This window comes from Homo sapiens, chromosome 11 (assembly GCF_000001405.40).
Source record: "Homo sapiens chromosome 11, GRCh38.p14 Primary Assembly".
In the NCBI taxonomy this organism is placed as follows: domain Eukaryota; kingdom Metazoa; phylum Chordata; class Mammalia; order Primates; family Hominidae; genus Homo; species Homo sapiens.
This window is the reverse complement of record NC_000011.10, coordinates 75,126,769-75,141,237: the sequence shown is the minus strand read 5'-3', so window position 1 is coordinate 75,141,237 and position 14,469 is coordinate 75,126,769. Positions and strand designations below refer to the sequence as shown.

Below are 14,469 nucleotides of genomic sequence, written 5' to 3'. Positions count from 1 at the left end.
GGCTGGCCATTCACTCGAGGAGCTTCCCATCAGCCAGTTCCTCTGCCTGCAGCCTTCCTCCTGTTCACTCATCTGAGCTGCTCCAATGCTCCAATGCAAATGGAGTTTTTCTTCCCCTTCTCAGACACTGGACTAAGAATGGGGGCAACCCAGGGTCACCTGTCACAGGACTGGCATAATCCAAAAGAGAAACTGAGTGCAAGAGTCTCAGGCTTTGCAGGGTGAGAAACCTCAGAGGGGAAGGCATCCAGCGGGTGGAATCTCTGTGGCTGTGGTGGCGATTGCACTGAGGCACCTGATGATTTGCAAAGAGCTCTCACATAGAGTAGCTCACTAAACCTCACTCGAGCCAATGTTGCCATTATTATTACCCCCATTCCCAAAGAGGAAACAGAGGCAGAGAGAAGTGAAGTCATGCGCGCCCAAGGACACACAGGTGGTACGTGGAACTGAGATTTGAGACCAGGTGCGTTTGGCCCCCAAAGCTGATGCCCTTGCGCTGGGGCCACACTGCCCCCTGGTGGCAGCGAGGATGGTGGCGGTGATGAGTATGCCGGAGGCCCAGCACTGGGGACACATTCTGGACTCTCCTACCCTGAGCTCCATGGCCTCCTCTGCATGGTCGGTAAGGTGGCCCAGGTTCTCTCTGGACATATTCATAACCTCCCTTTGGCACTTTCCTTTTCCAGCCTCTCGCGTCTGTCGGAGCCTCGCACACCTGGGGGAGTGAGGGCGGTAGGGGCCAGACAGAGAGACAGAGCTCCACCGTTCCCAGTGTTTCCAGGGCAGAGCAGCGCCAGGACAGGGCACAGGCAGCCAGCCTCTGGTTTAGGGGGAACTTCAAGGGTTGGGCTATTTTTTTGTTCTTAGCTTAAAAGTATTCCTGAAATACACGGGCTCCTGCTGAAGACATTTCCGTGCCTCTCCGATTTCTGTGGAGGGAGACAGTGGATGGACTGTGAGTGTCTGGACTTCCCCATGGTCCCAGGAGAGGGACAGTGGCTTGTGCAACCTGGATGAAATGTTTATGACGTCTGCTTGTGACTGTTACCTCTTCTCAACCTGCACTACACCAGCTCAGAGCTTGCACTTAAGAAATACCTGATGATGAGGCCGGGCATGGTGGCTCACGCCAGCACTTTGGGAGGCCGAGGTGAGTGGATCACGAGGTCAGGAGTTCAAGATCAGCCTGGTCAAGGTGGCAAAACCCCGTCTCTACTAAAAATACAAAAAAAAAAAAAAAAAAAAAAAAAAAAAAGCCAGGCGTGGCGGCAGGTGCCTGTAATCCCAGCTACTCAGGAGTCTGAGGCAGAGAATTGCTTGAACCTGGGAGGCGGAGGTTGCAGTGAGCAGAGATTGCACTACTGCACTCCAGCCTGGGCGACAGAGCAAGACTCCATCTCAAAAAAAAAAAAAAAAAAGAAAAAAAAAAAAGAAATACCTGATTATCAATCCTCCATTTTGCAGAAGAGAAAACAGATTCTCAGAGAGCTAAATGCCAGGCTTGAATCCAAATTAGTCTGGCACCAAGATCGGAGCATTTAACCACTATACTGCCTCCCAGTCCCGTTCAATGGGGAACAAACACTTCTACAGTCTCAATATCTTCACAAAATTCTCCTACCACTCCAGTCTTAAGTGAGGATAGGCCGTCCCCCTGCAGCGCCAGATCTGCACACTGACCTTTACTGCACTCTTTCTACTCTCTTGTCTCCCACTCCCACTGGGAGCCCAGACACTGGCTTCAGAAGCTCTCCTCCTCCTCCTCTATTGACCATCCTCTTCATCCTCTCACTCTCTACTGGCTGCTTCCTACCCACGAATTGTGGGAAATATGCTAAAATATCTCCAATTTTTAAAGTACAACAAAATTCCCCCTGATTTCTTGCTATGGTCTGAATGTTTGTGACCTTCAAAATCCATATGTTAAATCTTGGCCAGGTGTGGTGGCTCACACCTGTAACCCCAGTGTTTTAGGAGGCCATGGTGCGAGAACTGCTTGAGGCCCAGAGTTCAAGACCAGCCTGTGCAGCATAGTGAGACTCTGTCTCTACAGAAATGGAAAACACTAGCCGGGCATAGTGGCATGTGCCTGTAATCCCAGCTATATGGGAGGCTGAGGCGGGAAGATCACTTAACCCCAGGAGTTTGAGGCAGTGAGCTATGATGGTGCTACTGCGCTCCAGCCAGTGCAACAGAGTGAGACCCTGTATCTAAAAAAAAAAAAAAAATGAATGCATGAGTGAATAAATAAATTAAAATTTAAAAGGTCAGGCATGGTCTCAGCTCCCAGCTACTTGGGAGGCTAAGGCAGGAGGATTGTTTGAGGCCAGGGGTTCAAGACAAGCCTGGGCCACATAGCAAGATACTGTCTCTACAAAAAAAATTTTCTTTTTTTTAATAAAGCAAACCTAACCTCTAGGGTGATGGTGTTTAATGGTGGGGCCTTTGGGAAGTGATTAGTTTGTAAGGGTAAAGCCCTCTTGAATGAGATTACATCCCTTATAAAAGAGGCCTGAGAGAGCTTGTTGGTCCCTTCCACCATGTGAGGACACAGCTAGAAAGTGCCATCTATGAAGCAGAGAGCAGCCCTCACCAGACACTGGATCCACTGGCACCTTGATCTTGGACTTCCCAGCCTCCAGAACTGTGAGCAATAAATTTCTGTTGTTTACAAATGACCCAGTTTAAGGTATTTTGTTATAAAACCCTGAACTGCCTAGGACACATCTCATCAGCCTCCAACCATCCACATCTCTTTTCAGCTAAACATCTTGAAGATGTTATCTATTCTCTCTCCATTTACTCACTCCCAACCTTCCACGCTCACTGTTCCACTGGCCTGTTCACACCTGGGGCACCAGTGATCCCCTCATCACTGGACCCCACAGACACTTTTCATCCGATTCTTGTCCTCTTGGGCACATCAGCAACATTTGATGCTGCTGACCACAGCTGCCCTAGGGAGCTTCTGTGATATAACACTCTCCTGGTTTTGCTTCACGCTCTCTGGCTGTTGTTTCTCAGTATCTTTTACAGAAATTTCTTGTTCTGCCTCAGTCTCATGTTGTTTCCCCCCATGGTTCTGTCCTTCTCACACTACACTCTCTCCCTAGGTGATCTTGTTCACTATCATAAGTATATGCCTCCCAAGTCTTTGCCTGCATCCACTCTCTCTCCTGAGCTCCAGACATCAGTCAACATCACCACCATCTGTCTCGTCACCCAAACCAGAATACTGGGCATCATCTTGGACCTTTCCATAATCAGTTGTCAAATTCTGACTATTCTACCTCTTGAAGATTCTCCAAATTTTTTTTTTCCTTACTCTGTTGCCTGGGCTGGAATGCAGTGGCTTGATCTTGGCTTACTGCAACCTCTGCCTCCCAGGTTCAAGAGATTCTCCTGCCTCAGCCTCCCAAGTAGCTGGGATTATAGGCATGTGCCACCACCCCTGGCTAATTTTTATGTTTTTAGTAGAGTTGGGGTTTCACCATGTTGGCCAGGCTGATCTCGAACTCCTGACCTCAAGTGATCCACCCGCCTCAGCCTCCCAAAGTGGGATTACAGACGTGAGGCACCACGCCCAGCCAGATTCTCTAAGCTTTGATAGTTAAGAGGCATGGCTTTGGAGATGGATTGGACTCTACACTAACTCACTATTTATCCAGCAGAATGACCAAAGCAGGCTTAGTTACTTAACCCTCTGAGCTCCCTCATCCATAAAACAAGGGTAATGGAAATTGCTCCTTGGATTAAATGAAATGAAGTATGTGACTACCAGGGCACAGCCATTAGTACAAGTAAGCTCTCAATAAAGGGCAGCCATCATCTGCTATCATTGTCATTAATACTCCTCTCTATTCCTCTCCTCACCACCAAGCTTCCTGGCTGGTTGCCCTGCCTCTGGTCTCTCTCTCCTACTCGAAGACATTCCCCGTGCCACAGTGGGTATGAGCTTTCTCAAACATGTAGCTGACTATCTTAGCCCTCTGTCTGAGCCCTGGTTCTGGCTTTCCAATGTCCTCATGCTGAGGGTTGTTCTTGGCTTCAAGACTCTCCTCCCTCTGGCCCCTGCCAACCTCTTTAGCCTCATCTTTGGAGACTCGCAGTCTCTCCTTCTATATTGCAGCCCAAACCAACTTCTATCTCCCCTCTAACACACCTCCTGCTTTTTCTACACTTCATGACTTTGTTTACCCCCTCCTTTGTGGCCTGCACTCTATTCATCTGCTTGAAATTTATGACCCATTTAAGAGATGTCTTCCATGATGCAAGTCGCTTTGTTTCCTCCTCTGGGCCCTTCAGCTCTATGGTAGCACAGATCACAGTGGATATGATGGACAGGGTTTTGGCTGGCTACCCCACTAGACTGTGTCAATTCCCTGTGACCATGCACCCAGTGCAAAGCCAGCCTTATTCAATGTGGAATGAAAAACGAACCTCAGTTATCTTAATCTTTAAAATGGCAGCATTGGCAGCCAGGCCTGGTCAATCCAGAGGAGAGAAAGAGCACTGGAGCCTGGAGGAAGATGAAGTCACAGAAGGCTCCCTGGAGGAGGTCGGGCTTAGAATTATAAGGCCTCTGTATTAGTCTGTTTTCACACTGCTGATACAGACATACTCAAGACTGGGCAATCTTCTGAGCCCTCCAAACTGTTCCAACCTGTGCCTGTTACCCAGTTCCAAAGTCGCTTCCACAGTTTTGGGTATCTTTTCAGCAATGCCGCACTCTATCGGTACCAATTTACTGTATTAGTCCTTTTTCATGATGCTGATAAAGACATACCTGAGACTGGGCAATTTATAAAAGGAAGAGGTTTATTGGACGTACAGTTCCACTTGGCTGGGGAAGTCACACAATCATGGCAGAAGGCAAGGAAGAGCAAGTCTCGTCTTACATGGATGGTGGCAGGCAAAGAGAGAATGAGGAAGATTCAAAAGTGGAAACCCCTGATAAAATAATCAGATCTCATGAGACTTGTTCACTACCAAGAGAACAGTAGAGGGGAAACCACCTCCATGATTCAGTTATCTCCCACTGGGTCCCTCCCACAAAACGTGGGAATTATGGGAGTACAATTCAAGATGAGATTTGGGTGGGGACACAGAGCCAAACCATATCAGCCGCTAAGAACGATCAAGAGTGAGCAAGAGAGTGAGGATTTGGAAGACTGAGTGGCTCTCTGTTCTGTCATGCTTGTTCCTCCAGCTTCAATACACTTGAGGGGTCCCACCAACCAATAGCACAGCCTTTTACATTTACACGGAAAATTTTCACTAACTTTTTCATTTGTGTCATTGGTGCAGAGGCTGGAGTGAGGGTTAGGAAATCTGAGACTTCCTATCCTGACTTGTGTTTGGATTGCTGTGTGACTTTGGGCAATCCCTTTCACCTCTGAGCCTGTTTCCTCATCTGCCACATGTGGATACCAATGGTTGCTCCACACATAGGAAAGTCCCCATAGACCATAAAGTTCTGTGTCCCACTAAGCACTATTAATCTTGTTGTTCTAATTATCAGCAAAGCCCATGGTAGCTGCTAACCAGCCACCTGGGGGTCCCCAGAAAATATTATTCAGGGCCCCAGTAAAAGGGAACCTCTGGGGGTCAAGGCCCCAGCAGGCCAGGAAGGGGTAGAGCTTGGGAGTTTAATGGAAATAGGCTCAGCTCCAACCTGGTTCTTCCCACTGAGGCAGCACTGACTTCGGGAGAGGAAGGAGCAGCTGGCATGGCCTGGGTTGGGCAGATGAGCTGGGTTGACCTGCAGAGGTCTCGGGCATGAAGGCTGAAAGTGAAGTGCCCAAAGCCAGCCATAGCCAAGGAGGGGCTAGGCTCTGGGAGGGCAGCGTCTGGGGAGGTGGGCAGTTAGGGACCCTCATCCCGCTAGGAGAGGGGCTCTAAGAGAAGGGATCTGGGCCAAACTCTTTGTGCTCTGATTTAGAGCATTCCTGGCAGGCAGGCTATGCTGCTGGTTTGCCATCTGTGTGACTGTGGCTGGGTCAGAACTCCCACTGGGCCTCCCCCTGCGTATCAGCAGCAATACAGGAGCTGGACTAGGAGCTCTCTATAGAGCCTAGTGTTGTCTGATTCTGCAGCAGCACTGGACAGAAAGCTCTGAGGTTGTTAGGACAGTCATGGTCCAGTCTGCCTGTGGAAAACTGGGAAACCAGGTGCCCAGACCCCACTGACATGTTGATTTTGTAGAAGAGGGGTCAGAACACATCCCAGGCCCCAGGGAACGCCTAGTCTGGTGAGGGAAGCAGATGTGAACATGGATAGCTCCCAGTATTGTCTGGGCTGCCAGACAGGCAAGCTTCAGGGACCCTCCCACAGAGGACACCTGGGAGCCCTGAACAGGGAGCAGGCATCTGGTTTCTGGTGTGGCTCTGCCAATAGCTCTCTGTGTAGCCTTGACCAAGATCAGCTCCCCTATCAGCTTTAAAAAAATGTATTTTTAAGTTATTTTTATTTTTTATAGAAACAGGGTCTCGCTATGTTGGCCAGGCTGGTCTTGAACTCTTGACCTCAGGTGATCCATCTGCCTCAGCCTCCCAAAATGTTGGGATTACAGGCATGAGCCACCGCACCCAGCCCAGGTCTGCTTTATCTTAATAGGGAGTGAATTCATTTTCAACTTGGGTTCCATTCAGGAAATAACTCCTTCTATCAAAGGCACATACAATGTCTCTGCCCTCTGAGAGTGACCAACAGAGGAGTTTCACAGGACATGGGACTTTCAGTGCTGAAACCAGGACAGTTCTGGGCAAATCAATATGGTTGGTCACTGTATGATATGACAAAGAGAAAGGATACAAAGACAGGTCCCAGGGCACCCAGGCTAGAAAGAAACAGACAGAGCAAGCCCCTGTACAGGCACACAGAAGAGGAAGCTATTTCTGGGGTAAGCAGACAGCATTTTGAAGTGCTTCTTGAAGGAAGCAGCTGAAGAGAAAGATATCACAGAAAAGGAATTCTCATGTGAATGGAAATGGAGAGACTGAAACAAAGGGCACTGATTCAGACATAACATTCCGACCCAGATAGAGTGAGATGAGAATAGAGCGGGGCGTAGAAGAGGAATGGAATCCAGAGCATGACAGAAGCCATTGTTCCGGCTATCCCCAAAGAAGTTTTCCCAGCAGTTCCCTAGAGCTCATGAGCTAGGAGTCTTTATCGGTGGCCCCTGACAATCCTCCAGGCTGAGAGGAACACACCATCAAGGGAACCTTAGAATGAACGACATAGTTTTCACTCTAGAGTTTAGCTTTACTCACTGCCAACCAGTGATTCTGCTGTCTTCACAAGGTCCCAAGATAAAGAACGCCATTCAGGAATCGTGCAGGCATAGCTGGACTGGATGGACTTATGTCAAATGACTACAGTCAAGATCCTGGTGCTTAGAGTGGGCAAAACCTGGTAAGTGTATTCATCAACATTACCATACCTAGAAGATTACTTCACCTGTGCTAGTGGGAACTGGGCTAAAAACCAGACATCCTTAAAGGAGCTACTTGAACTAATAAAAGAGCTACTTGATTTTTTAATTGGCATTTGAACACAAGCAGATGCCTCTCAGATTTTTTTCTCTCCAATAGGTTAAATTTGCCCACCAACACCGCAATCTTATTTTTTAATTTTTGTAAGATAAGATCTTGCTCTGCTGCCCAGCTTAGAGTGCAGTGGTGTGATCATGGCTCACTGCAGCCTCAAACTCCTAGGCTTACCTTCACATCTGGGGTAGTTACGATTACAGGTGCATGTCACAATGCCTGACTAACTTTTTTGACTTTTTATAGAAAAGGGGTCTTTCTATGTTGCCTGGCTGGTCTCAAACTTCTGGCCTCAAGCGATCCTCTGGCCTTAGCCTCTAAAAGTGTTGGGATTACAGGTGTGAGCCACTGTACCTGGCTACAATCTTGTTCATGTGATTCATTTATGTTATTATTATTATTTTTAGAAGCAATGAATCTAGGGTTAGAAGGTCACTTAAAGGTTTTTAATCTAGCTGCTATCCAAGTACTACATCTCTGTAGCATTCCAGAAAAAGACCTCAGCCTTGCAACCTCTAGTTACATGGACTTCACTAATTATCAAGCCTGTTTTTGCATTATGGAGTTGTTCTTTCTTTTTCTTTTTCTTTTTTTCTTTTGAGACAGGGTCTCACTCTGTTGCCCAGGCTGGAGTGCAGTGGTGCAATCTCAGCTCACTGCAACCTCCGCCTCCAGAGTTCAAGTTATTTTCCTGCCTCAGCCTCCTGAATAGCTGGGACTACAGGTATGTGCCACCACGCCTGGCTAATTTTTGTATTTTTAGTAGAGACAAGGTTTTACCACGTTGTCCAGGCTAGTTTTAAACTCCTGACCTCAGATATCTGCCCACCTTGGCCTCCCAAAGTGCTGAGATTACAGGCATGAGCCACCGCGCCCGGCCTTCATTATGGGGTCATTCTAATGGTAAGAAACTGCTTCCATATGTGGGATTGATCTCTGGGCCCCTGAAGCTGCTAACAGTGGCCCCACTTCTTTGTAAGTGTTGCTCCTTCTCTTTGACAGTTCTTAGGTGTTTGTATCCACCTCTCTTCCCCCCAGAACAGGACCAGCTCTTTCTGCCATTGTTGTTAGACATCTCACCACTCTGGGAATCTTAATTGTGCAATACAATTCCTGGCACAAAGAAAGTGTTGGGACTGAGATCCATGGTTGGAAAGGAAAAATATACATGTTCTAGTGAATGTTTCCTTGATTGCTCTGGTTTCCAGATGTTCCCAGTGTGTGTCTACAGACATCCAACTCTGACCCACTGTGGAGGCCACAGCCTGTAATGGATCAGAGGACTCCTTGCCTGTCTTCTGCCTGGTCAGCATCCCCTCTCTGCCAGAGTCCCTCTTCCCCCAACTCCCGTCTTTGTGGTTTTCTTTCTTCTTTCCTTTTTTCTTTTCTTTTCCTTTCTTTTCTTTTCTTTTCTTTTCTTTTCTTTCTCCCTTCCTTTCTCCCTTCCTTCCTTCTTTCTCCTTTCCTTTCCTTTCTCTCTTTCTTTCTCTCTCTCTTTGTTTCTATCTTTCTTTCTTTTTTCTTTTTTGATGGAGCTTCGCTCTTGTTGCCCAGGCTGGAGTGCAATGGCGCAATCTCTGCTCACTGCAAACTCCACCTCCCAGGTTCAAGCAATCCTCCCACCTCAGCCTCTGGAGTAGCTGGGATTACAGGCACCTACCGCCTGGCTAATTTTTATATTTTTAGTACAGATGGGATTTTACAATGTTGGCCAGGCTGGTATTGAACTCCTGGCCTCAAAAGATCTGCCTGCCTTGGCGTCCCAAAGTTCTGGGATTACAGGTGTGAGCCACCATGCCTGGCCTTGATTTTCTTCTTAATCTATCCGCTTATCCTGGTGGGTAATGACCAGATCCTGGTGGTTGTGATGGCAGAGGCCAGCCTTCACAAGCCTGTGTACTTCTTCCTGATAAACCTCTCAGCCCTAGACATCCTCTCCACTACAGTCACTGTCCCCAAGACGCTGCCCCTGTTCTTGCTTGGGGACCACTTCCTCAGCTTCCCTGCCTGCTTCCTACAGATGTACCTGTTCCACAGCTTCTCCTGCTCAGAAGCCTTCATCCTGGTGGTCATGGCCTATGACCGCTATGTAGCTATCTGCCACCCACTGCAATACCCTGTTCTCATGAACCCACAGACCAATGCTGTCTTGGCAACCGGTGCCTGGCTCACTGCCCTCCTCCTGCCCATTCCAGCAGTAGTACAGACCTCCCAGATGGCATTTGACAGCATTGCTGACATCTACCACTGCTTCTGTGATCATCTGGCTGTGGTCCAGGCCTCCTGCTCTGATACCACCCCCAGACCTTCATGGGTTTCTGCATCGCCATGGTGGTGTCCTTCCTCCCCCTTCTCCTGGTGCTTCTCTCCTATGCCCACATCTTGACCTCGGTGCTTCGCATTAACTCCCAAGAAGGACGCTCCAAAGCCTTCTCCACCTGCAGCTCCCATCTCCCGGTAGTGGGCACCTACTACTCATCCATTGCCATAGCCTATGTGGCCTACAGCGCTGACCTGCCCCTCGACTTCCACGTCATGGGCAATGTTGTACATGTCTTCTTCTTCCTCTTCTTCTTCTTCTTCCTCTTCCTCTTCTTCCTCTTCCTCTTCGTCTTCCTCTTCTTCTTCTTCTCCTTCTCCTTCCTCTTCCTCTTCTTCTCCTTCTCCTTCTTCTTCTTTCTTCTTTAATACATCCTTCCCTCCCTGTATATGCCATGCCATTCTCACACCTGTTCTCCACTCTCACCTGCATGCTGAGGAACAGGGATGTCAAAGCAGCCATCACCAAGATCGCATGTCCCCAGGAGCTAGGGTGTTCTGGGGGCCCTAGATCCCTAGATCCAACTAATTCAGCTCCCAGGATACCAATGACAGCACCTAGCTCAGAAGAACAACTCAATAAATATTTTTAAATGAATTATAGCAATCTAATTTGGTTTCGTTTATTTGAGCAGACAGCTACAATCTGGTTCTCAAATACTGGATCAGGAAGTTTTCCCAATAGTACTATAGAATAATTATAGAATAATTGCAGACTTCACTATTTTCTTTTCTTTTTTTCTTTCTTTCCTTTTTTTTTTTTTTTTTTGAGACAGAGTCTCACTCTGTCGCCCAGGCTAGAGTGTAGTGGCACAATCTCAGCTCACTGCAAACTCTGCCTCTTGGGTTCAAGTGATTCTCCTGCCTCAGCCTCCCAAGTAGCTGGGATTACAGGCACCTGCCACTACACCCAGTTAATTTTTGTATTTTTATTTATTTTTATTTTATTATTATTATACTTTAAGTATTAGGGTACATGTGCACAATGCGCAGGTTAGTTACATATGTATACATGTGCCATGCTGGTGTGCTGCACCCATTAACTTGTCATTTAGCATTAGGTATATCTCCTAAAGCTATCCCTCCCCCCTCCCCCCACCCCAATTTTTGTATTTTTAATTGAGATGGGGTTTCACCACGTTGGCCAGGCTGGTCTTGAACTCCTGACCTCAGGTGATCTGCCCACCTTGGCCTCCCAAAGTGCTGGGATTAAATGCGTGAGCCATCACGCCTGGCCGACTTCACAATTTTCATCCGTCATTAATGTAATGAATAAAACTTTATCATTCAGTCATTCATAAAAATTCATATTGGGTGCTAGAGACAGAAATGAACCAGACAAAAATTGTTTCCCTGGAGGCATCTATAGTTGAGTGTAGGAGTCAGACCCAGAGAGAAAAAAGCATCTGGTGATAGGACAAAGAGAAGCAAAAGGGGTTGAAGGAGCTCAGAAGTTAGCATTTAATTCAATGTTAAAATTTTCTCCTGTAAGTTCTTATATTTTTGGCATTGAGTATCACTTATTTGTTAGCAAGTACTCATTTATCAGCAACACAGGCAGTGGAGGGTTGGGGAGCTTGGAAAGACTGGGTAAGAAAACCACTAGCTGCTCCAACCAGGGAGTGGTAACACTGTCCATGTTCCTGCCCAGTTGGAAGGATTCATCTTTAGTTTGGATGACCATCAAGATGGGATGCTTATGACCAGGTGTGGTGGCTCATGCTTGTAATCTCAGCACTTTTGGAGGCCGAGATGGGCAGATCACTTGAGGTCAGGAGTTTGAGACTAGCCTGGCCAACATGGTGAAACCCCGTCTCTAGTAAAAATACAAAAATTAGCTGGGTGTGATGGCGGGCACCTGTAATCCCAGCTACGTAGGAGGCTGAGACAGGAGAATCGCTTGAACCTGGGAGATGGAGGTTGCAGTGAACTGAGATTGTGCCACTGCACTCCAGCCTGGGCAACATGAGCAAAACTCCATCTCAAAAAAAAAAAATGGGATGCTTCCTGCTAAGGAAGGAGACCACTACTACTCCTGCTGCCCTCCTCCCCTCCACCTTGCCTAGTTCACAAGACAGGAGGAAAGAGAGAAAGCAAAAAGTTGGAAAGAAACAGAAGTAAGATAAGTAGCCAGACAACCTTGGCACCACAACCTGGCCCTAGGAGTTAAAAAAGTAATAATAATAACATCAACCCCTGACCTAAACTACTTGTGTTATCTTTAAATTCCAGACATTGTATGAAAAAGCATTGCAAAACTGTCTGTTTTGTTAGCTGATGCGTGTAGCCCCAGTCACATTCCCCAGGCTTGCTCGATTTATCACAACCTTTTCACGTGGACCCCTTAGAGTTGTAAGCCTTTGAAAAGGCCAACAATTTCTTTTTCAAGGAGCTCGGCTCTTAAGATGCAAGTCTGCTGATGCTCCCTGCCGAATAAACCTCTTCCTTCTTTAATCCAGTGTCTAAGGAGTTTTGTCTGCGGCTTGTCCTGCTACACTGCTAAAGGAGTTTAAATCTCACTTCTCCTTAGAAATCACACAAGGATCAGAGCAAGGATGGACAGAGCTGCAGTGTGTCCCAATCAGGCAGAAAGGAACACCATTGTCAGGAGAGCACACAGCAGGAAGCTGGCACTTTGTGGTGCATATTGTAGGGAAGTAAATCTGCAAGAAAGCCTCAGCACTTAGCCGGACACTGAATAAGTGGATAATTTTTCACAAACCCCATTAATAAGGGTATTCATATGAGGAAATGACATCCTGCAGACCCACAAGCAACAAGCCCATGACATCTGTAGAACCAGACTCTGTGAGAGATGAGGAATACAGGCAAGTCTAAGATCAAAGACTTTCTTAGAGCCACGGATTCTTGGTAGTTTTTAGTCAGAGGAAATTGCAATTTTCATTATTATTATTATTATTAGAGACAGGGTCTCACTCTATCACACAGGCTTGAGTACAGGGGTGTGATTATAGCTCATTGTAACCTCAAACTCCTGGGCTCAACTGACCTTCCCTTCTCAGCCTCCCACATAGCTGGAACCACAGGCATGCACCACCATGACTGGCTAATTTTTTGATTTTTATTTTTGTAGACATGGGGTCTCACTATGTTGCCCAGGCTGGTCTTGAACTCATGGCCTCAAGCCATCCTTCCACCTTGGCCTCCCAAAGTGCTAGGATTCCAGGCACCTGGCTGTAAATTGCAATTAGTATTTCCTTTAGGTTTTGTGGTATGGTTTTATGTTTATGTCAATAGTATAATAAACTACATATAATTCTCGGTTCAGAGTATGGGTTCAATTATTCCCAAGCTAAACTTCAAATTAGCTTTTTAATATACCCGTTAAGGAATTAACCCCGGTATCATAAACAGATTTCTGCATTAAGTGGAAACATCTGACTGTCACTCTTAATAGTTTGATGCCCATGGTAGGACAGACCAAATAACCAGTCTCTTCATTTCCTTCCAGAACACTCTCTTAGCCAGAATTACATCTGTTAGGATATGCTATATAACATGTTAGTGGTGGAGATGAGGAATAAATAAATACCAAATATATATTAATTGGAAAATGTGGAAGAGGCTGAGATGGGTAGACCACCTGAGCTGAGGAGTTTGAGAGGAGCCTGGGCACATGGTGAAACCCCATCTCTATAAAAAATACAAAAATTAGCCAGGCATGGCAGCACATGCCTGTAGTCCCAGCTACTCAGGAGGCTGAGGTAGGAGAATTGCTTGAGCCCTGGAGGCAGAGGTTGCAGCGAGCCGAGATCATGCCACTGCACTCCAACCTGGGGGACAGAGTGCGACCCTGTCGAAAGAAAGAAAAGAAAGAGAGAAATAAAGAAAGAAAGAAAGAAAGAGAGAGAGAGAGAGAGAGAGAGAGAGAGAGAGAGAGAAAGAAAGAAAGAAAGAAAGAAAGAAAGAAAGAAAGAAAGAAAGAAAGAAAGAAAGAAAGAAAGAAAGAAAATGTGGAAAGCCAATTATACTTGGTTAAAAATTTTCCTTTCCTTTTTTTTTGAGATGGAGTCTCGTTCTGTTGCCCAGGCTGGAGTGCAGTGGTGCAATCTCGAATCACTGCAACTTCCGCCTCCCAGATTCAAGCAATTCTCCTGCCTCAGCCTCCCTAGTAGCTGGGATTATAGGCATGCACCACCACGCCTGGCTAATTTTTGTATTTTTAGTAGACACAGGGTTTCACCATGTTGGCCAGGCTGGTCTCGAACTCCTGACCTCAGGTGATCCACCCGCCTCAGCCTCCCACAGTGCTGGGATTACAGGTGTGAGCCACCGAGCCCAGCCAAATTTTCCTTTTCAATTACATATGTGTTCTTGGTTGTAATTTTATATGGTCCATGCACAATAAGATCCTGTACAAGGGAGCTTATGCCTCATGAGAATGACAGGGTGAAGTGTTGGCCATATCATAGTGTTTCACAGGGAGAAGAATGGCTTTCACTCCCATCGTCACTGGGAGACATCTGAAAACCTTTTGGTTAGAATGAGGAGTCCCAGAATATCAAGGCTGGAAAAAACAGATCATCTGGTTTTACATTTCCCATTTTACAGTTATGAAAACTGAGGCTCATAACAC

The 14,469-nt window shown here is 46.8% G+C and overlaps 1 long non-coding RNA gene and 1 pseudogene across 1 annotated transcript; both read left to right on the top strand.

Annotated features, from left to right (window-relative positions):
- Positions 1-1,111: 1,111 nt before the first annotated feature.
- On the top strand, positions 1,112-8,837 carry LOC107984358 (uncharacterized). The gene is made up of 3 exons (XR_001748297.2): positions 1,112-1,153; positions 7,309-7,419; positions 8,762-8,837. It is a non-coding gene; the product is annotated as an uncharacterized LOC107984358 (long non-coding RNA).
- OR2AT1P (olfactory receptor family 2 subfamily AT member 1 pseudogene) lies at positions 9,366-10,135 on the top strand (annotated as a pseudogene).